Raw genomic sequence first — 23,913 nt, 5'->3', positions numbered from 1 at the left:
GATTGTACACACACACACACACACACACACACACACAGACATATACACAAATAGAAGCTTTTTTTCAAAACAAAACTATTATTCAGTAACTTGTTTTGCTTCATTTAAAACTCTCTCTCTCTCTCAGATATACCTCCATGCTATTGCAGATGGATTTATTATTATTATTATTATTTTTGAGATGGAGTCTCGCTCTGTCGCCCAGGATGGAGTACAATGGCATGATCTCGGTTCACTGCAACCTCCGTCTCCCAGGTTCAAGCGATTCTCCTGCCTCAGCCTCCCAAGTAGCTGGGATTACAGGCGCCCGCCACCACGCCTGGCTAATTTTTGTATTTTTAGTAGAGATGGGGTTTCACCATGTTGACCAGGCTGGTCTTGAACTCCTGACCTCAAGTGATCTGCCTGCCTCGGCCTCCCAAAGTGCTGGGAATACAGGTATGAACCACTGCACCTGGCCAGATTTATTGCTCTATCAACTGCACAGACTTCTATATTATGATGTTCCATGACTTATGGGATAGTTTCCCTTTCGATGGACATTAAAAGTTTCCATTTTTTTCTCCATTACAAACTGTGGTTTAGTGAACATTCTAATTTATATATCTTTCTATAGTTGAATATGTTAACAGAATTTATCTTTACAAGTGAAGTTGCCATATCAAGAGGATACACAAATGTAAAATTTTGTTTGCCCTTCAAAAAGTTTATAGTAATTCACATTCCCACCAAAATGTGGGTGAAAGGTTATCATTCTGTTTTAAGTGGCATTTCTTTCATTGTTAGTGAGGTAGGCTATATACTTATTAGTGCTATTTGCCGTTTGTATTTTTTCCATAAATTGTCCATTGATACACTGTTAAAGTTTTAATAGAGTGTTTAATTTTTTTACAAATTCATTGGAATACTTCACATTTTAGGGTATTAATTGTTGATATATCTTAAAGTTTTTCTCCCTGTATATATATTGGCTTTTCTTCAGTGGTTAGTTATTTTTCCTTTAAAAACTGAAAAACATTGGATTTCCTTCTTGTCCATCTTTTTCTTTATGCCTTTGGGGTTTTGTGCTATGCACTAGGATCACCTCCTCTTCCTGAGATTCAAAAATATTCACATAGATTTTACCCAATACTTTGTTTTGGCTGTTATGTTTAGATCTTCGGTCCATCTGAAATTTGTCTTTGGGTAGAGTGTGAAATAGAACCATAATTAATTTTCAAATGTATAGGCGTTTTCTCCAAAATCATTTGCTGGGTAGTCTGTCATGTCCCCCATCTGGAGATGTCCTCTTTATCATGGACACATTCCTATGCACACGTATCTGCTTCCAAACTATGTTTCCGTTAATTACTGTGCTGATTTAGTTATTATTTTTATATAGTATATTTTTGTATCATTCCTTCACTACTCAATTGTTTTCCAAATGTTGTTGGCTACTGTGGTACATTTTCTATTCTAGATTCCAAATTCTAAAGCTTATACTCCCCAAAATAACCACTGAAATTTTCATTTGAATTGCATTGAATGTATGTTATATTTAGGGATAATTGGTATCTTTATAACATCGTCTTCATGTCCATGAATGTAATATATCTTTTTGAGTCTCCTTTTATGCCTCAGAAAGGATTCTTAGTTTTTGTTTTCATATTATTCTCACACATTTAAGTTTAATTCTAGATATTTTGTTGTTTTAGTTGCTATTTTAAATGGAATTCTTTTCCATTATGTTGTCTAATTAATGATGGATGGTATGTAGAAAAACTACTGATTATATTTCTATGTGCTTACCCTACTGATTTTCTTGTTTAATTTTGTTTTCAGTTAATTATTTTGGGAGAGGCAAACTTTTGCTGTAAAAAGTCAGACAGGGAATATTTTTGGCTTTGCAGGTCAAAGGATCTCAGTTCCAACTACCCAACTTGCCACTGTAGTATAAAAGCAGTCATAACAGACAATACATAAATAAGTAGGCATGGCTGTGTCCTAATAAAACCTCATAGAAATAGGCTGCTGACTAGATTTGGTTTTCTGACTATATTCTAATGATGCAAATATATCATATTTAAGTAATATGTCTTCTCTTGTCCCCCAAAACACTGGATTTCTGGAGTGTTGAATAATAGATGTGATAATAGTTATCCTTGTCTTGTTCTGATTTAAGGTGCTAGGTTCTTGGTATTTCACTTTTATGTTTGATGTTTCTTATTAATTTTTGACAGATACTTTAATCCAATTAAACATGTTGTCCTCTATTCCCAAGTGACTAAGAGATTTTAACAGCAATGTGATTGGGCGTTATTGATGCCTTATGAACATGAGTTAATATTAACATTTCACCTATTATTTTCCTCACGTGTATAAACAAAATGAGCTATCTTTTAATTCCTAGAATAAATAATTCCATTTCCTACATTTCATTTAGGATTTCTACATCTACATTCATGAATAAAGCTATAGTTTTCTTTTTCTAGTATCTCTCTGATTTTTAGTGCTATTCGGACCTTGTAGAATAAACTGAGAAACTTCCCATCTTTTTGTGCTCTGAAACACTTTAATACAAAAATTAGCTGTTCTTTGAAAGTTTGCAAGTGTGCTCCAAAACCATTTGGACCTGGCAAACGTTTCAGCAATGGGGCCTGCCCTTCCGGCGTCTTCTGTGTCATTGATCTACAGGAGAAACGCTGTAGATCACACATCACATCTCTTTGTCCCTGACCCCTAAAGTCTGTATGTGGCACTGGCCAGTGTTCCCTTAGACTTGCCCTTGAGAAGCCAGTCAGCCCAGGCAAAGTGCAAGTGCAGAGAGAAGCGTGCCAGCACTTGAATATCTTGTGGGTTTGTCACTGCATTTCTGCTTGGGTTCAGGAAAGGTTAGATTATACAAGAGAGAAAGATGGAAGGAGAGGGGTCTGGAGAAGCTGAAAGGGTGACAGAAGCAACCTCTTTAGAATGAAAATAGTCAGTAAGGGGTGGCCCCAAGCCATCTGGAGTGAGAGAGGGATGGCTTTCCCAGGTCCCACCTCCACTCCCTCCGAGATAGAGCTGCACTGGAGGTTTTAAGGACATTACTGGTTCAAATAAGGGACTATGCAGTTTAGAAAAGTGAATGGGTTTTTAGGCGCCTGGAGGCTTTGGGCCTCCAGGTTCCTGTTGGGTTTTCAGGTGCCATTTGCCTGGGCAGTGCCGCCTTCAGTCCTAAGTGACGTGGACCCTGGCTTGCAGAGCCCCTGGCCTCCCCAGCCCCCCTTCCCCATATATGGGCTACACCCTTTCCCTGGGGGTGGGCAGAAAGGATACAAAGCTGCCAATCTGGTGCCTGCCCCTCTCTTTTCTGGGCCTCGCTCAGGTGCTGGGAATGTGGGGAGTCCTTGCCGAGTGTCCCCGGGCTGTGAGCCTGTTCAGAGCCTTCAGTGTGCACACCTAGAAGCTCAAGTTGTAGCCCAGGGGTGGCCTATTGTGGGGCAGGATTAAGCGACAGTTGAGAACTGAGAGGTGGGCGGTACAGGCTCACTTCAGATCTATGTGGGGGCAAGGAGCTGAGGACCGGGAATGCCCTTTGCTTGAGCTCAGAAGGGTTGACTCTCAGGAGCAGGGTAAAAAAGAGGTTTCTATTTCTTTTAGAACCCAGTCTCTAGGTTTCCTAGCCCTGCGTCCATGTAGAGAGAAAGATGGAAGGCAGAGGCCACAGAAGGCAGTGAGGGCAGGGCTGGCCTCCCCGGGGTGCATGTCCCCGGGGCTCAGAGGTGATGAGCACAGAAGGGTGAGGGTGCTTCAGGGCACACATTTATAAATTGCAGACATCTGCCCATGGGCTCCCTATCATGCTTTGTTTATTGTTTTTAAGACTAGGGCAAATACCAAATGTGATCTTGCTGCTTCTCGACCTGAGTGTTTAAAGGTCCTTTCTGGAGCAGTGGGACCTGAGCCCTATGAGGGGTGCACCCAAGGCCCGACAGGAAGAGCAGCTCCCTCCTGCACGTTGGACTCTCCATTCTAGGGAAATCGCCCATCTCCCCAGACAGGTATGATGACTTTTATAGGATTACTGGCCCAAAGGGAAAACCTCTTCCAGCTGAAACCCCATCTGCACCCAGCTTCAGCTGGAATCGTGACGGTCAGTGACAAATCAGTGGTGCCACTGAGTCTGCCCTGAGGTGAAGGCTGTTCAGTGGGATGGCCGGCCGTGGCCTCCACTTGGGGGAACATTTCAGGCTCAGAAAGCCAGCACCTCAGAATGCTCCCCATGCTTGTCTCATCTGCAGAATCTGGACTTCCTCCATATGGACTAAACCCCCTAATTGAAGGCTTTGATTATATTAAACCTGCATGTGCCTGAGGTGTTCCCAGGCAGCCAGGGTGTGGAGGCTCAGGAGCTGAGAGAGCAGTGGGTGCGGCGGGTTCCGATATGGGATGCTGGGCCTTGAGCAGAATGCTGGGAAGCTCCGGATTTTCTCATTGTTCGTGGACCTGGCTATCCTGAAGTCCTGCTTCCACAAGGAAATGTGGTTTACTCTCAGCCCCATGTTTGTGCATAGACAACGGATGGCATTCACCAGGAACAGCACAAAAGCAAAGCTGCGATCTTCCTGGAAACAATTAGAGTCAGCGCTGCGAGCATTAGGGGTGGTGTGAGCTGGCACAGCCTGCTTCCTGCCCTCACTTCTGTGTGAAAGAAACAAGGCAGGGCACTGTGCAGCCACCGGCTGGTGGAGGGAAAGGCGCCGGAGGGAGACGCTTTACAGAAGTCAGAGCCACCAGGAGCCCCAGGGCCATCCCATCAGGAGAGAGGAGCTGCGTCTGGTGCTGGTCCACTCTCTGATGCCTGCAGGAGGCACCCTGCCTGCCCTCCTCGCCCTGTGCATCCCCACCCAGCCTCCTGGCTGCTCGGCCCTTGATGCTGGGTTTTGGGAAGCTGTTCTCTCCTCTTTGGTAGCATCATCTGCTTCATCAACAGGTTTGCTTTTTCTCAGGTGTTGAGTTCAAATCCCCTAACTCTACTTTTACAGCTAGAACTGAGAAAACTATCTGTACTCATTTATCTGTTTAAGCGTTTAGACACAGAACCTGGGTTTTCTATAATGTGCCACATAACGATGTTCACATGGTCCCATATGATTATAATACCACGTTTTCACTGTGTCTTTTTAACATTTAGCTATGTTTATATACACAGATCCTTACCATTGTACTGCAGTTGCCTGCAGTATTCAGTACAGTCCCAGGCTGTACAGATCATTAGCCTAGGAACAACAGACTACGCCGTATCACTTAGGCTTGTGCTGGGCTGTGCCATCTAGATGTGTGAAGTACACTCTGTGATGCTCGCACGGTGATGACATCTCCTAATGATGCATTTCTCAGAACATGCTCCTGTGGTAAGGAAGCCTGACTGCAGTCTGAGCTCGGACTCCCTAGAACCCTCCCCTGCCACACCGTGGCTATTCCCGATGTGCAGGTAGTGGCTTCATTACATTAAACACGGCAGTGAGAGCTCCTGCCATGAAAGTTCTGGGTGGAGGGTGGGACCACCCACATGTAAGAGAGGTTGGCGGTGAGTGGGGCAGCTGAATGGGAGGCCCCTTGCCCATGCTGGGACCCACTTAATTCCTCTGATTTTTAGCAGAATCAGGGCAAACTTCTAATTATTTTGGTACTCTGAAGAAATAAAACCTGGGCTTGCCATAGAAAAATCTGTTCCATCAGGGAATTCCCTCTTGGCTCTGTGAAGGAGAAAAACTATGAAGAGATCTTTGGAATGAGGGGTCTCAAGGGCACTGGAAGGCTCTGGCATGTGAAGAGCTTGAGTTGGAATGCATCTGAGAGCCCGAGGGGCTGGCCCAGACACAGGAGGAAGCCTCCGAGCTGGCTTGGATTTTTTTTCCATTAAAAAGTTCTCTGGTTCCTGAGGTGCGATGGTGATGGTGGGAGAGGCTGGTTAGCGACAGGGGGGGCTCTCTGAACTTTCTGCTTAGTTTTGCTGTGAACCTAAAACTGCTCTAAAAATAATTTATTGATTTTTTAAAAAAGTTATCAGGAAAGAACACCTACAGTTGGTTAGATATGATTAATAACTAGTACCAACATGGCATTGTTAACAAAGAATACATTATTATTATTATAAGGTACTCAGGAGTAAAGAACAATGAATAATATACATCTAATTTTTTAATACTCAATGCACAATCAACATTTCTGATCAACAGTATAAACCATATAAAAGAGAATTCTGCTTTTCATTTGTACAAATACTGCTTTCATCATTGCAAAACTTTCAAGGTTAAAACGTACCATATGTTGAAGCTATAAAGCTATTGCTTGAATGTTTCTAAAACGAAGTTATTGCTGTCTGTTGTTAATCGGTTACATTGTCACCTCTAATACCAGTCATCAAATCCATAGGATCTCTTAATTTCCAAGAGATTGTATTGTACAGCAAGATTATTTTTGTGGCCAAATCAGGTCATAGGATTCCTTTTTTTTTAAAGATAAGTAAATGCATCCAGAAATGTATGCACAGATTTAAGTTTTCCCCATAGTTTTATCTGCTAGGTGATAGGGTGGAGCTTCTTAGTGCTTCTGCTGGGAATTCAGATAGGACAGACTTGCAGCCTCAGAGGACACACTGCAGGTAGTGCAGAGAGACATGGAAGGAAAACACACTGCCTGCTACATAGTTTTTATCCCAGGTATAATTTGTGAGGAATGTATAACAAATGTTTCTTAAAGCATGAATCCTCTTCTTGAATTCTTGTTTTTATGAAAGCCATCCAACTACTTACTCAATCCTCTTGAAATCTGCCTTTTGTAATGTAACTGATAGGCCAGCGTTTTCTTTCACTGTGGGAAATAAAGGCTACTTGGTTGCTTTAGGGAGGGCAACAATGTCAGCTGCATAAGCAGCAAGAATATTATATTTTATTACTAGTCCACCCTTAATAAAGAGAGAAACCTTAGGAAATGGAAAGAGGTGTCTGTTTTATATTTCCTTTGCTTTTCAACCATTGTTTAGACACTCTCCCTTCTAGTGCTTGGAGAACCTTCATGGAAACTCTGTTCAGGTTCTTGACTCTCAGCGACAGATGTGGAGGTCTTTGTGTCTTAGCTCTCTAGGCCTGAGAATCACATACACCTGCAGAATTTGCCTCCAAGTCCATGTCCTTGTGGCTAATCCCTAGGCCAGTAGTTCTCAACTTTGGCCGCACATTGGAATGACCTCAGGAGCTTTAAAAACTACGAATGCTTGGGTTTCAGCCCCAGAGATTTGCGTTTAATCGGTCTGAGGTGTAGCTGGGCTTCAAGCTTTTAAAAGCTCCTCAGGTGATGTCACTGCAGCCAGGGCTGAATAACTTCTCTAGGGTGGCTGGGCCCAGGCTTGGTAAGACTGTTGGTGAACTAACCAAAGTGTGCTGAACATTATTAGGCTCTCCAGACATGTCTAGTTTATACTGGTAAATGCATATCAATTGTAAATATAAAAATAAAATTTGCATTGAAGTCACATTATATATATAAACCAACAAAGTGCTATGTTATTGCTTTTCTTACATGTACAGGGTTACACTGGCAGATGATGAGAGTATGGCATGCAACTGGATTTTTCTAGTAGTAACAACAGTGAGCCCTTTCCATTAACACTGCCCCAACAGAACCTGCCTCAGACCAAGCTAAATGTGCTTTCCATCATCTTTTAAAATTTCCTAAATATAAAAACGATGCTTCTCTTCTTCACCATGACAATGACCTAGCTTAGCTCCCCAATGAGGTTGTGCCTTTTTATAAGAGAGAGAAAGGGCTTTCCTCTTGCCTCAACTTAACCCTTTTAAACAAAGATTTCAGTTTCAAATTTTGATTCTATTGCAGTCTCTCTAAAGTAAACTGTGTTTGTTTTAGTAGAAAAATGAGTTTCTAAAAATATATTGTACAAAGTTCAGTGCTACATAAAGAGAACTATATCCCGCAACAAAGTTACAAAAATAGATTTACATTTAAAAATCCTGTCTGTGTCTTCAATAGTACAAAGCTGTACCCCTGGTATGGCAGGTGTGGCTGGTGAAAGAGGCAAGGATTTCTGTTCTGTAAGGTTTTACAGCCCCCAGGCAAGGAAATGTGAGCAGATCATTATGTTGCAATAAAAGTGTGTGCTTATCACAAGAAAGAAATGCAGAGTAGACATTGAGGGCAATTTCAACAGGTGTTGCCTACGTGGAATAGCAGCTCACTCACAAAGGAGGGAAGAGACTGGTTTCTATAACTTACTTAGAGAATGCAGAGGGTCCCAGGGCGTTTTCAAAGCTCAGGTGGGGGTATTTGCCCCTTTCCAGCTGAACTGCTGGTGAGGATGAATTGAACGCTTTTGAAATGAGCCAAGTCTCAGGCTTATCAGTGACTGCAGATTGTTCTCTCCACTGCACATGGGAATCTCTACCCTACCCAGCCTTTTATTCTACTCTGACGGGGGCTCTGGTACAGACCCACAGTCTTGTACAACTGAAGACCCTAGAAATAAGGGTTTCAACCCTGGTTGCCCATTAGAATCATGAAAGAGCCCCCGAGATTTGGGTTGAATTGGTCTGCAGAGACTCCAGGCCCCTTCTTTTGAAGCTCCACAGATGATTCTTTTCTGCCTGAGGGGAGGTGCTGAGTTCCCATCACCCACCAGCTTCATCCTACACAAGTGCAATCAGAGGCCTAGTGAGAGTGGCACTGGGGGGTGGCCCCCCAGCGAGTGCCAAGTAGATCCCACCAGGCCCTTCCTTTAGGCCAGAGGTTCTAGAAACTTTGATGAATGTTGCAATAACCAGGGGGTGCTCTGAAAAGGCCCTACGGCTGGGCTGCACCTGAGAAAATCAAGCCACAGTCTTTCTGGTTGGGACCAGAAGATTCCCAAGGGCAGCCGCCCTTGAGAACCAGTGCCTTTCCTGCTAAGCAATCCATAGTCCCCTTATGTCTGCAGTTGTGAGGCAGGGGTGGTAAGTCACAACATCAAGAACTTTCAGCAAACACCTAAGCTTTGGTGTCATCAGCTGGAGTGCAATAGGATGCATCCACAGTGCTCCCCCTTACAACCTGGACTCACAGCGAATATAGAGTTTAGAAGACTCATCCCTTCTCTGATCCCTCATGGGGTGACGGGCATGGTGTAATTAGAGGAGCTCCTTAGAGATGATGCAAGAAGATGCACGAAGGCTGGCGGCACCTATGAATGTGAGCTCTCAGCTCCTTACTTTCCTTCGACCTCTGTTTCCAAAGACCACATCTGAAGCTGGGGTCATGGGGTAAGGTCTTCCAGGAACTGACTGAGGAAGAAACAGCCAATGGACAGGCTTTCTGTAGGGTATTAAGGCCAGGCTATCAATCAGGAAGACCTTCAGGGATGGAGTCCAAGCTTTGAGTACTGACTGATCAGGGCTGTTAGGTGAAAATCATGGGACTTTGGGCAGCTCCTCTCCTGACCTGCCCATCACAGTCGCCAGATCCGTGAAGAGGCTAAGGGCTTTGCGGCTTCTACCAGACAGAACTGTGCCTCCCTGGACAGATGAAGTGAGAACTATTTTGGGAAGCACAATCTTAAAATTAATAGAATTTAGCAACTAAACTTTATGGTGGAAAATTAAAATATGAAGAAGAAAGCTAGAATAGCTTTTGCTCTTTTATTAAGTTACTGTTTCAAACTACAAAAATACTAGAATTTAATGCTACAATGTGACTCACTTACAACTGACCTGCCTCATCGATCATCTGCTTCTTGACACATAAGTGACAGCAGAATGTAGGTCCTTCTGTTTCCCAGTTCTGACTGAAATATTTCTGCATGTCCTGAGGTGAATGAATAATGAAAGTGGTTAACTGACAATATAAAATCTCAGATTCTTAGAAATGTTGTGTAGTCTTCTCACTAAGCATGTGCAGAGATGATAGCTCAAAATCCCCCTGGGGGCTGCAACTTTTAGGGAACTTGTGGGATGCTCCAAGCTCATCCCCTGGCTTAGAGGGAGCAGGTTGTTTAGGGTGACTGACCTCAGCCTTATGTGGACTTTAGCAGTGGAGGCCTCTGGCAGCTGTTTCCTCGGTCAGGGTGCCCCTGATGCACCTGCACTTTCCACCTCCCCGCTGACTGAGACCTGGTCATCCTCCTGTGAGGCCTCCCTTCCAGGTCTCCTCAGGCAGGACCCAACCTCCCTGCTCTGTGCTCTCACAGTGCCTGGCTGATGGGTCCTGTCTGGCATTTGTCACGTTGTTTTAAGGTTAGCATCTATGAGTCCATTTCCTTTGCTAAATTGTGAATTTCTTAGAATCAGGGACTATGTTTTATTTATCTTTGTATCTTTCATACCCATACCAGGCTAGTATAGATGCTTAGGGGTATTTGAGAGCATAATAGAGTGGAAATGAATATAGTTTTATTTTCATTGAGACAAAAATCAAATACTTTCTTAACAATGCTGTAGGGGCTCTGACTGATCTGGGAGTCAAAAATTACTTTAAAAGCAAAAGGAACATTTTGTATGTGTGTGTGACTGAACATAACTGTAGGCTGAAAATATTTTCTGAACCATTTCTTCCTTGATAAATTGGATGGGGTGGATATTGACTAGGAGAGTTTAAAACACTGTTTACAAAGGACTGCTGTTAACCAGTCAGGTTACAGGGCACACACAGATTAGGAAAAAAGGTGGGCTCCTAACTAGCTGAATCTTCCAATCTTCCAATTGTAGAGAAATTATTTTAGGAAGGAACTTTTTTCCTTCTAAAACATCTGCAAATGTTGTGAAAGCATTATCAATTTCAAACCCTAGTTTCATATTTACTACCTGAATTCCACACTACTCATAATGCTACTGTCATTCGCACCTGTAAAATGCCCTGTTGTGGCCAGAGCTGTAAGTGCTTGAATAGATGACTCAAGGCAGAGACACTTTTTGTGTGACAAAGCGTAAGGAGGGGGTTTGGGGGCAGCTGACCTGGAGGGAACATATACTCTTTGAGTAAAAAGCTTTTGAAGTGAAGTAAAAGGAGAAAACTATCTTCCATAAGTAACACAAACTAATTTTGGGGGGTTGGGGTGATGGCTAAAGGAGATTTCAGAGCAGCTTCATTTTTGTAGTCTTCTGATCTATGCCCCAAAGGACCTGATGCATTTCATCTGAGCCTCAAATTAGGAGATACGTTTTTGCGAGAACAAAAGCGGTGCTATCCTTAGGTATTCCACATTCTCAGCTGTGGGCTATTGGTCCAAATGCTGATGAATCCAATGTGGGCTGGAATCCGAGTTATTATTTGATGTGTCATCCTCTCTTGCTGATTTCATGACAGCAAGACAGGGGCAGCATACTGAGTTTCAAAACAATGGAATGGAAGACAAACAAGTCAGTCTAACGCTCATGACTGGAAACCACTGGTCCATCAGTGGGGAGTAAGTACCGTGGGGACATTTTTACAAAAGTAAGTCTAAGGAAGAATTCCATCCCCTCCGTTTCTTCTTTGCCCAGGAAGGGACAGAGTGGCTTATCCTACTGTACCTGCCATGACTTGATACAGTACCGATCCGGCCTGCTGGGGCCATGAAGGCCTTCTTGGATCTTTAGTGTTTTGCAGTGGAAGCCTTGAAGCAGAACCACTGGAATCAAGCATCCTCTGGAAGACTTGTGGCTTGTGCTCCTTGCTCACAGTTGGGCCTGGATGAACTCAGGGTAGCAAGTGCTACCAGCAAGCTTCTTCCTTGTTGGAAGAGCCCATTGAAGTAAAAATCAATAGCGACAATGAAAAACTCCAAGATCCCCAATCAATAAAAATCCTCACATATACTTTTTTTTTTTTTCAAATATACCTCTTTGAAAGATAAATTTCTGCTCAAAGGGACAATATTCTTGCTGGATGCGTTTCTGTAAATGCTTCACAGTTTGAAGACAAAGGAATGCAACTTCCCAAAATGTGCCCGAGGTGGAAGTACTTCCTGGCTAGTCGGTGTAAACGTTGCAAAACCAGTCTGTGGGTCTAAGAGCTAATGCGGGCATGGCTGTTGGGATGGAGGACCTGCTGTGGCTTGGTCCTGGGTATCGAAAGAGTCTGGATTTTTAGGGCTCATACTATCCTCCGTGGTCATGCTCCAATAAATTCACTGCTTTGTGGCGCGACCCTTAGGTATTCTGCATTTTCAGCTGTGGAGCCCTTAAAGATGCCATTTGGCTTGGCTTCCTTGGGAAAGAAGTCCTGCTGGTAGTCAGGGTTGTCCAGGCTAATTTGGTGGCTGCCTTTCTGGGCCCAGTGGGCAGGGCTGTCGAATGTGCTGTTGACACAGGTGGGCTGGACAGTGTTGAGATACTCGGGGTTGCCCACTGCAGTGCTGTGGGGGTCCTGGTAGTGTGGGTCTCTGCTGGGCGCGGGGTTCAGAGGCTGATTGTGATAGACAGGATTCTGCACAGAGCCAGCGGGCCTTTTGGGAACGGACTGGTTTATGTATTCTGAAAGTGGAAAGAAATCAGAGGTGAAGTAATCAGCAAAGCACCATCCCATGCAGGATCCCTGGGTTCTGAACCCTGTGAATGTCCTCAACAAGGAGACTTATGACAGGGAGCAGGAGCCTCGGGAGGGCCCTCTTGCTGTTGCTGCAAAAGAAAGTGGGTTCTTTCCTGTCCTTCTCAAAGTAATGGACATATGTGTCTTTTGTAAATTTAAAGTTCTCAGAGGATAAACTGCCTTGAGGAGAGTGTGTGTATGTGTGTGTGTATGTGTATGCATGTATACATATATGTGTGATGTGTATGTGGTATGTGTGTCTGGTGTGTGTATATGTGTGTGTATGTGCACCGTGTGTGTGGTGTATGTGTGTGTGGTGTATATTTGTATGTGTGTGTGGTGTGTGCATGTGGGTGTGTGTGGTGTGTGTGTACGTGTGTGTATATGTGGTGTGTGTATACGTGTGTATGTATGGTGTGTGTGGTGTGTATGTGTCTATTGTGTATGTATGTGTGGTATGAGTTGTGTGTGTGTGGTGTGGGTGTGTATGTGGTGTGTCTATGTGTGTCTGTGGTGTGTGTGGTGTGTGTACGTGTGTGTGGTGTGTGTATGTGTATGTATGTGTGGTGTGTGTCTGTGGTGTGTGTGTGGTGTGTGTACGTGTGTGTATGTGTGGTGTGTGTGTGGTGTGTATGTGTGTGGTGTGTATGTGTGTGTGTATATATGCGTATGTGTGGGGTGTATATGTTTGTGTGTGTGTGGGGTTTTTGTGGTGTGTGTGTGGTGTGTGTATTTGTGTGTGTTGTGTGTATATGTGGTGTGTGTGTACATGTGTACATATGGTGTGTGGTGTGTATATGTCTATATGTTTATGCATGTGTGGTGTCTGTGTGGTGTTGGTGTGTATGTGTGCATACATATGTGTATGTGGTGTGTATGTGTGTGTGTGGCGTGTGTACATGTGTGGTGTGTGGATGTGTATGTATGTGTGGTGTGTGTGTGGTGTGTATGTGTGTGTGGTGTGTGTGTACGTTTGTGTATATGTGGTGTGTGTGTACATGTGTATGGTGTGTGTCGTGTGTGTCTGTGTGTATGTGTGTGTGTAGTTGGTGTGTGTAGTTGGTGTGTAAAGAGGTATATCATCTGCCTTAACTTGCATTTTTCTAATAGCTTATAATATTGATAATCTGTTTATATTATATTAGATAGCCAATAAACTATATATTAGATATTACACTAACATATATATAACTTACATATGTTATATATCTAAATCTTTATATACATATAACATATGTATAAAGATTTCTACATATTTTTATATATAAAGATTTTGATATATATGACATAGATATTAGATAGCTAATAAACTACATATTAGATATATAGATATTAGATATTACATCAACATATATATAACATATGTTTTATATATATCTAAATCTTTATACATGTGTGTGTGGGGTGTGGGTGTGTATATGCACATACATATGTGTATGTGGTGTGTTAATGTGTGTTTCTGTGGTGTGTGTGGTGTGTCTACGTGTGTGTATGTGTGGTGCGTGTATGTGTGGTGTGTGTGGTGTGTGTATGTGTGTGTGTGGTGTGTGGTGTGTGTGTGTATGTGTGGTGTAGTGTGTATATGTTTGTATGTGTGTGCGGTTTTTGTGGTGTGTGTGTGGCGTATGTGTGTGTGGTGTGTGTATGTGTGGTGTGTGTGGTGTATGTGTACGTGTGTATGTAATGGTGTGTGTAGTGTATATGTGTCTGTGTGTATGTATGTGTGGTGTGTGTGTATGTGTGCATACATGTCTGTAGTGTGTGTACGTGTCTGTGTTGTGTGTTGTGTGTACGTGTGTGTGGTGTGTCTGTATGTATGTGTGGTGTGTATGTATGCATGGTGTATGTGTGTATATATGTGTGTATACGTGTGTGTATGTGGTGTGTGTGGTGTGTATATGTGTATGTGTGTGGGGTTTTTGTGGTGTATGTGTGGTGTGTGTATGTGTGTATACATGTATGTGTGTGTGGTGTGTATGTATTTGAGGTGTGTGTGTATATGTGTGTGCATGTGTATGTGTCTGTGTATGGTATGTGTGTGGTGTCTGTGTATGTGTGTGGTGTGTGTATATGTGTGTATGTGTATGTGTGTGTATATGTGTGTGTGTTAGCAGGTTATGAGTATCTGGATAAAGCTTAAAATTTATTAATATTAACTAATATTTAATTAGTTAAATATACGTTTCACAGGTCAAGATAGAGCCAGCAGAGAGAACAGGGATCAAATCTGTCACAAACACACACATACACACACACACATACACAGATGTACACACATCATGAACACTCACACACACAGATGTGTATGTCCGTGATTTGCTTCATAAGCTAGAAATTTTGCAGATTCATTCTTACAACAGAGGTACAGCAAACAACCAGACACAACAAAGAGCTTGTGCAGGCTCGGTCATGTGTTTATCTGCTCCTTACGCCCTTCACTGTGTCTGCAAATCTGCCACTGTTTCCCCCTCTGGAGATGCTGGAGGGAGCACCTGGCTTGGACACTGGAGACTGGCTGCTGCTGAGTGGGTCGAGGAGGTTGAGGAGCAGGACTGTTTCCAGACAAGCCACTCACCAGGCACTGGGAGGAAGGTGTCGTCTATGCTGTCCTCAGTCAAGGCGCCTGTGGGGTCTGAGCTGTATCGCTGCAAGAAGCTGTCTTCCTTGATGGGACAGCTTTGCAGCTGCAGGAGGAAATGAGGGAAGGTTACTCCGGTCAGGGCTGCCCCAACTTCAGTGTTTGCAAAAATCACCCGAGATCTCCTTGAGATGCTGGTTCTGATTAGTAGGTTGGGCAGGCCTGAGAGTCTGCACCCTGGTGGGTGCTGGTGCTACTGGGCCACAGGCTGCAGGGTGGGCAGCAGGGCTGTGCTGGGTGCTGTACAGCAGAACTTTCCGCAGTGAGGGAGGTGTGCTATGAGCGGTGCTCTTCAATACGGTCACCACTAGCCACGTGTGGCTACTGGACACTTCACATGTGTGAGAAACTGAATTTTATATTTTATTTCATTTTAACTCATTAACATTTAAGTTGAAGTAGCCACATGTGGCTAGTGGTTTCTGCATGGCACAGTGCGGTCTAGACCACGGCCTCACACTTCAACAGACATCAGCATCACCTGGAAAGTGGCTCAAACATAGACTACTGGGTGCCACCCCCAGAGGTCCTGATTTGGTCAAACTGGGGCAGTGGCCTGAAAAATGGCGTTTCTAACAAGGCCAGGCGATGCTACTACTGGTCCAGGAGTCACGCTTTGAACGGCACTGTGAGGCGTGACAGCCGTGCAGGGAAAAACCCACACAGGAAGAAAACTCAAGATTATCTGGGTTAAAATTATTTAGGTTAAGGCATTTTCCATGTAAAATAGAGCCATAGTGGAGAGCTGTAAATTCTGGCTTATAAGGTGTTCATACATACCCCATTTCTATCAATGCAAGCCACGGTGGAATTGTTGCTGGTTGCACTCTGAAAAAGAAACAGAGAAGTTGCCCATGGAATGCTTGTACCACATCTCATCCACTTTTCCTGAATGCAGGTGGTGTGCCTCATGGAGGGTATATTGTGAAGGTGTTTAATTTTTGTCTTAATCGTTAGTTTTAGAGCAACTAGGTTTAGTTTTGATTTAATTACATTCCATAGTGGACCTAAAAGGCTTACAATCAAGTTGTTGCAATGCAACAAAATAATTAATACACTTAATTTATTTTGATTTTGATTTTACCATTTGGTTAAAATTGACTTCATATCCATGTGAGTTTCACTAGATGGTTATTTTCCCTAAAATTCAATTTGTTCAAATGAGTAGACACAGCTTGAGAGAGAGAGAGAGACAGAGATTTCATACCAGAGAGCTCAGGAGGGGAGTCCGTGACGTGGAGGGGCTGCTGAAGAAGCCCTGCTGTGGGATGAGGTACTCGTCGGCATCCACCACGTCGTCCATGTCTTCTTCATCCATCAGGGCACGGTAGAAGTTGGAGTCTGTAGGACTTGGCAAATGCATTCTTTCATCCCCCTGGTGCAGAGATTTTGAGGCTATTAGAATGGCCCGTAGAGATGCTATTCCACTTCTTGGCTATAGGAGCAGGGGTCTATTGCCAGCAGGTGCCTGTGTGTTTGCCAATTTTGTTATAATGAAATCCCCCTTGGTTCTCTAAATTATAGCTGCCTCCCCTCATGACATGATGTGGGTGCCTTAAAATAAAACATGAACCATCCTTTGATGCTTGAAAGCCCCTACATGAGATTCAAATAGCTTCTGAGGAAACAGAAAGGGAAGAAGCTGCAGCATTCATCGAGTGTGCACCTTGCTGTGAGGTGTTAGGGAGCGTATTTTGCAACATATTTTATTGAATCTTTGAGACAATCCTGTGAGCTTGGTTTTGGTATTCCTGTGTTATGGAAGGAGATAGGTGGATCGGCTGCCTGGGTGATGCGAAGAAGTGGAGAGTCAGGGGTGTGAAGCCACGTCTGCCTGACACCAAAGCCCAATAGACCATGCTTCTCTCTTAGACCCAGCTGAGGCTTTGGCTAGCCGGACAGTGAGGACGAGCACCAGAGGAGAGTTCAGACGGGGAGGGGGAGATGGAGTTGGGTGGGCCCCACTCACGGATGCTGCTTAGTTCACGATGTGGCCTGCGCCTTACTGAGGCTTGCTCTAATGCGCTGGAGGGTTTAATAATGCGATCTGGGACACAGGGAGGCCAGGCTGGCATGTGACAGAACACAGTGACATGAGATGCTCATTAGAGGGACTCTTCCCAATGGAAGCACAGACTGCAATTTGTACCTGAATGACAAGGTAGCGCTGGGGGTCTCGGGCCATTTTGGAGAATTCGATGATCAACTCACGGAACTTTGGGCGACTATCTGCGTCTATCATCCAGCCTGGGGAAGGAATGAGAAAAAACAGTGCAATTAGAACACTGGAAGAAATGATAAAGATGGCATTGCTTAAAGAAGGCATTGGTGATGCGACACTTCCAGTCAAATAAGTGATGAAAGAACCAAGTCTTTGTGGTAGACTTTTCTGTCTTGGCCAGCTAGTACTGGTTACTGTTTAAAGACCATGCCAGCACTGTACATTTGAATCAGAATAACAATAATGCCCTCTAGTTTTTCTACGCCCACTCTTCCTGGGGTCAGCATCCTGTGTTACGCCTGAGGGGATGGAGCAGTGTGGGTCTGTACAATTGCTCTCCATGAACTATCCTGACTGCAGGGTGCCCTGCACCAAGGTCCTCACTCAACATCCACCCTTAGCATTCCTTCAGGTAGGAAACCAGATGCAACTTAGAAAAATAGGCTTTAAAGAATTTGGGGTTGGGACTGGGCCCCTACCCCCGGCGTCTCCAGTACAGCACATACCCAGTGGGCATGCATGCAAGTGAGAAGGCTGGTGGGCATGCATGCAAGTGAGAGGGCTGGCTGTGCTGGCAACTTCCACAGGAGGACACACTGTTAACTGTGCTGCTGCATGTGACTACCCAACAATCTAAATCCAGATTAAACAATTTGGAGGTATGGCTACTGCCTGGAAATCCTCATGCCTCTTGAGGGATCACATTTATTTTCCATCCACAGCATATCAAGCTATTTTAGGCCAGACTGCTATGTGACCTTAGACAAATCACGTGGCTTCTCTGGATCACAGCTTCCTTAGCCCAAACCAAGGAAGTTAAAAAAGATCAACTCTGTGGCCTAGAGTTCAGAAAGGCATTAATATTTACATTAACTTGGCTCTGTCATATTCCCTATACAACTTTCTTTTGCAAATGCTCATCCCATGCATGTAATGCTACCTCCAGAGCCCACTGCACTCGTGAATCTGGTAGAATAATAGCATCAATCAAATTACACACTCTTATTTAGATTGAAATGTTTAAATGCCACACTGCAGAGACTTCACATAAATCCACTGGTTTAAAAGGTTTAAGTCAAAGCAGAAATGTTGACTCTATTAGCCTTATGTTGTTACTCACTGCCATGCATTTAAAAACATTCAGTCTCTCTGGTAACAGGCTTCAAAATATAGGGCAACTCGGTATTTCATTGAGTAACTCAGCGAATAGAATATTTTGGTGTAATGGCTTGCGGAAGACTTTAGTTTTATTTATTTGCTTGCAAACATGGGCAAATGTCAGGTCATACTGCCCAATGAGTCAAGAAGTGTCTTTAAAAGAATGCTTGAAGGGGTATTTACAGATGTTTCTGGATTTGTGTGCCTGCCTTAAGTAATGTGATGACATTTCTCCAGGGATGCAAAGGCCTCAGCTGTTTGGCTAAGAGCAGCCACCAAGGCTCAGCTAGGCAGTGTGGACAGACCCACCAGTCACTCACACTTGACCATGATCATGTAGACATCGATGGTACATATGGGTGGCTGAGGGAGGCGTTCTCCTTTCTCCAGGATGGAGGAGATCTCGCTGGCAGGGATTCCGTCATATGGCTTGGATCCAAAGGTCATCAACTCCCAAACAGTCACCCCTGAGAGGATGAAGCAAGAAAAGAAGGCAGTGGGATCATGAATGAACAATCACAATCCCTTGCTTTAGTCATCATTACTGGTTACTGTTTCTTGATGTTTAGAAACCTACATTTCTGTAGTCTTGGGCAATTTGCTTCAATGCTGGAAGCCTCAGTCTACCTCTCTATAAAGTGGGGTAATAGCAGTATCTGTTTCACAGGATTGCTGTAAGGACCCAACAAGATAATACAACTGAAATGCTTAGTGCAATGCCCAGCAAGTAGTAAGTGACTGATAAGTGGTAAACTTTGGTAATTAACAATAAAGACAACAGTAACTCTACTAGCATAAGTATTATGCTCCAGACAGGATACACACTCAGTCACCTGCTCTGAGGGACCTGTATCTGCAGAATGAGGAAGATGCAGATTCTGAACAGGGCTGTAAACTGCACATTTTTAGATCATAAAAAAATTGGAAATGAAAAAGCTTAAGTTCCATTTGATAAAAATAAAAACCTCAGGAAGAAACTGAATCCCTGAACAGACCAATAATGAGCTCCAAAATTGAATCAGTAATAAATAGCCTACCAACCAAAACAAAGCCTAAGACTAGATGGATTCATAGCCAAATTCTACAAGATGTACAAAAAAAGCTGGTACCATTCCTACTGAAACTATTCCAAAAAAATTGAGAAGGAGGGACTCTTCCTTAACTCATTCTATGAGGCCAATGTCATCCTGATACCAAAGCTTGGCAGAGATACAACAAAAAAAGAAAACTTCAGGCCAATATCTCTGATGAACATAGACATAAAAATCCTCAACAAAATACTGGCAAATCGAATCCAGCAGCACATCAAAAAGCTTAAGCCACCACAATCAAGTCGGCTTCATCCCTGGGATGCAAGATTGGTTCAACATATGCAAATCAATAAATGTGATTCACCACACAAACAGAACTAAGGACAAAAGCCACATGATCATCTCAATAGATGCAGAAAAGGCTCTCAATAAAATTCAACATGTTTAAAATTCTCAATAAACTAGGTATTTAAAGAACAAACCTCAACATATTAGCCATCTATGGCAAACCCACAGCCAACATCATATTGAATGGGCAAAAGTTGAAAACATTCCCCTTGAAAATTGACACAAGACAAGGATTCCCTCTCTCAACACTCCTATTTAACATAGTATTGGAAGTCCTGGCCAGATAAATCAGGTGAGAGAAAGAAATAATGGACATCCAAACAGGAAGAGAGGAAAACAGCTATCTCTGTTTGCAGATGACATGATCCTATATCTAGAAAACCCCATAGTCTTGACCCAAAACCCCTTAAGCTGATAAACAACTTCAGTGAAGACTCAGTTGTACAAAATCAATGTACAAAAATAATTAGCATTCCAATATGCCAACAACAGTCAAGCTGAGAACCAAATCAGGAATGCAATTCAATTCACAATTGCCACAAAAAGAATAAAATACCTAGAAATACAGTAAACCAGGAAAGTGAAAGATCTCTACAATAAGAACCACAAAACACTGCTTAAAGAAATCAGAGATGACACAAACAAATGGAAAAACATTCCATGCTCATGGATAGAAAGAATCAATATCATTAAAATGACTATACTGCCCAAAGTATTTTATAGATTCAATGTTACTCCTATCACACTACCAATGAGATTCTTCACAGAACTAGAAAATACAATTTAAAAATTCACATGGAACCAAAAAAGAGCCTGAATTGCCAAGGCAATCCTAAGCAAAAAGAACAAAGCTGGAAGCATGATGCTACCTGACTTTAAACTACAGGGATACAGTAACCAAAACAGCATGGTACTAGTACAGAAACAGACATACAGACCAATGAAACAGAATAGAGAGCCCAGAAATAAGGCTGCACACCTACAACCATGTGATCGTTGACAAAGTTGACAAAAAAAAAAAAGCAATGAATAAAGGACTCCCTACTCAATAAATGATGACTAGCTAGCCATGAAGAAGATTGAAACTGGACTCCTTCCTTACACCATACACAAAAATAAACTCAACATGGATTAAAGACTTAAATGTAAAACCCCAAACTATAAAAACCCTGGAAGACAACCTAGGTAATACCATTCTGGATATAGGAATGGGCTAAGATTTCATGATGAAAACACATCAAGCAATTGCAACAAAAGCAAAAATTGACAAATGGGATCTAACTAAACTGAAGATCTTCTGCACAGCAAAAGAAACTATCATCAGAGTGAAGACAACCCACAGAATGGGTGAACATTTTTGCAAGCTACAAATCTGAGAAGGGTCTAATAACCAGCATCTATAAGGAACTTAAGTAAATTCACAAGAAAAAATTAAACAATCCCATTAAAAAGTGGGCAAAGGACATGAGCAGACACTTTTTAGAAGAAGACATACATGCAGCCAACAAGTATATGAAAAAGAGCTTAACATCACTGATCATTAAAGAAATAAAAATCAAAACCACACTGAGATACCATCTCATACCAGTCAGATGGCTATTATTGAAAAGTAAAAAAAAAAAAAAATCCCAACACATGCTGGTGAGGTTGTGGAGAAAAAGGAATGCTTTTACACTGTTGGTGGGAATGTAAATTAGTTCAATTATTGTGGAAAAGAGTGTGGCAATTTCTCAGATAGCTAAAAACAGAACTACCATTTGACCCGGCAATCCCATTACTCAAAGGAATATAAATCATTCTACCATAAAGACATATGCATGCGTATTTTCACTGCAGCACTATTTACAATAGCAAAGACATGGAATCAACCTAAATGCCCATCAATGACAGACTGGATAAAGAAAATGTGGTACATATACACCATGGAACACTAGGCAGCCACAAAAGAGAATGAGATCATGTACTTTGCAAGAACATGGATGGAGCTAGAGGCCATCATCCCTAGCAAACTAATGCAGGAACAGAAAATCAAATACCGCATGTTCTTACTTATAAGTGGGAGCTAAATGATGAGAACACATGGACACTTAGAGGGGAACAACACACACTGGGGTCTATAGGACGGTGGAGGATGGGAGGAGGGAGAGGATCAGGAAAAATAACTAATGGGTACTAGGCTTAATCCCTGGGTGATAAAATAATCTGTGTAACAAACCCCCATGACACAAATTTACCTATATAACAAACCTGCACATGTACCCCTGAACCTAAAATAAAAGTTAAAAAAATGTCAGGTACTAAAATCTAAAAAATACGAAACCACAATATAGATATAACAAGCATAGAATAAAAACCCTCATGTTTTTCCTTCAAAATCAAACAACTATGATGGTTAAAAACAAGTGAAAGCAGTGATAATTTTAGAACCAGTGTTTTTTCAGACAACCCCGAGTTCTGATGGCCCTCCCATCTCTGGGTAACAGAGGCCATTCCCAAACGGAACCACCTGAATTAATACACAGAATACAAGCTTAACATTGGAAGGAAAGCAATGGTTTGGGGGCAAGAAAATAGATTCTTGTGTCATCCCCTGCCCCCAACTCATAGTCTATATGGATTTGTAAAAGAAAGACTGTCTCATTTCCAGATCTATGCAGTCAGTTTAACTACTATTTAACTAGGTTTTTAAACATGTATGATGAATTCTAGTGGGAAGACAGGTTATTAGATTTTGGAACAAACAGCGAGAGAGAGGAGAGCCAGTATAGCCAGTGTTAGGTGGAGAATGGGCTGGAAGGTGTTGCGAGTTCTCTCTTTTTAGCTCCTTGGTACAACACACTAGGCCCCTAATTTATTAAATTGAATAATTCACCTTGACTAGAGACTAGAGAGTAGAGAAAACAGGATATGATTTTTAAACAAAAAATTCAGGCTCATGGTCTGGTAGTTCCAGTGGGCTGCCTAGGCCAGTGATTATAATCTGCCGTGGCAGCCTCAATGATGTTGAAAACACACAATGTTTTCAGTGGGAACGGACTTCCTGAGAATGGGTGTGACCACATCAAGGCACTAAGCCACTGACTTTGAGAGGGCTTCCACTTGTGCATGGAGTGTGGGCATTGCGCTGGCACACACAGGCTATGCCTGGAGCGTGACGGGAGGGGGACCTGGTGGACGGGAGAGTTGCCAGGGCCAGATGGCCCAGCAACCCATCAGTCATGGCCAGGTGCTCAGGTTTTATCTGAACATACCTGGAGGACCAAAGAAAGATGTTGAGCAGAGAATGAAAAGTCTGATAAAGTTAAAAAATATGCACTTTGGGAGGCCGAGGCGGGCAGATCATGAGGTCAGGAGTTCGAGACCAGCCTGGCCAACATAGTGAAACCCTGTCTCAACTAGAGATACAAAAAATTAGCTGGGCATGGTGGTGTGCGCCTGTAATCCCAGCTACTCAGGAGGCTGAGGCAGGAGAATCACTTGAACCCGGGAGGTGGAGGTTGCAGTGAGCCGAGACTGCACCACTGCACTCCAGCCTGGGTGACAGGGCAAGACTCTGTCTCAAAAAAAAAAAAAAAAAAGTTAAAAAATATATGTGGCCTCTGTCTGGAGCATAGATGAGGGGGAGCAAGTGGGAAGAGGGGAGACCAGCAGGAGACCGGGCTGTGCCTGGAGTGGGAGGGGCGGGCTGCTTGAGGACAAAATAAATGGCTTGGGGCAGGACCCTGCAGTTCCCTCGTGGAGAGGAGATACATTCTGAAAATGGCTGTAAATAACAATGCATCAGCAGACCTTTATTTCCTTATCTGTTCCATTAATTGAGGTGGCTCAGCTCACAGGTGCACACCAAACTTCACTTATTCATGGACACAAATCTCTGCCTTTGTATCATAAATCTTACATTTTAACAGAAGAGATAAAGACTCAGGAAATTTAAAAATGTGTATGTATTTGGAAAATCAGAAAGTTAATAATGCTATAGGAAAAAGAAAAAATACTAAGTA

The 23,913-nt window shown here is 43.0% G+C and overlaps 1 protein-coding gene across 8 annotated transcripts in view, besides 1 other annotated feature; it reads right to left on the bottom strand.

Moving 5' to 3' along the window:
• Window positions 2,983–3,483: an enhancer, noted in NCBI's record as "H3K4me1 hESC enhancer chr7:55281927-55282427 (GRCh37/hg19 assembly coordinates)". NCBI's record gives its function as "activates a minimal SCP1, AML or CMV promoter by ChIP-STARR-seq in naive H9 embryonic stem cells {active_cell/tissue: H9 hESC(naive)}" and the evidence as "EXISTENCE:reporter gene assay evidence [ECO:0000049][PMID:30033119]".
• EGFR (epidermal growth factor receptor) overlaps window positions 6,089–23,913 on the bottom strand; it is a 192,612-nt gene continuing 174,787 nt past the window's right edge. For 6 of the 8 annotated variants that reach the window (NM_005228.5, NM_001346899.2, NM_001346941.2 and 3 more), the window contains 6 exons: window positions 18,854–19,000; window positions 17,304–17,401; window positions 16,362–16,529; window positions 15,935–15,982; window positions 15,092–15,200; window positions 6,089–12,461 (listed from right to left, as the gene is read on the bottom strand). In NM_005228.5, coding sequence (NP_005219.2) covers window positions 12,100–12,461; window positions 15,092–15,200; window positions 15,935–15,982; window positions 16,362–16,529; window positions 17,304–17,401; window positions 18,854–19,000 — 932 coding nt within the window. In that variant the 3' untranslated portion in view covers window positions 6,089–12,099. Of the gene's footprint in view, window positions 12,462–14,640; window positions 15,201–15,934; window positions 15,983–16,361; window positions 16,530–17,303; window positions 17,402–18,853; window positions 19,001–23,913 lie in introns of those variants that run through there. The other 2 variants (NM_001346898.2, NM_001346897.2) reach the window with 1 other exon arrangement.

The sequence above is a fragment of the Homo sapiens genome, chromosome 7 (genome assembly GCF_000001405.40).
Source record: "Homo sapiens chromosome 7, GRCh38.p14 Primary Assembly".
In the NCBI taxonomy this organism is placed as follows: Eukaryota; Metazoa; Chordata; class Mammalia; order Primates; family Hominidae; genus Homo; species Homo sapiens.
Note: the sequence above shows the minus strand (reverse complement) of the source record. Positions and strands in the feature narration are given on the sequence as shown.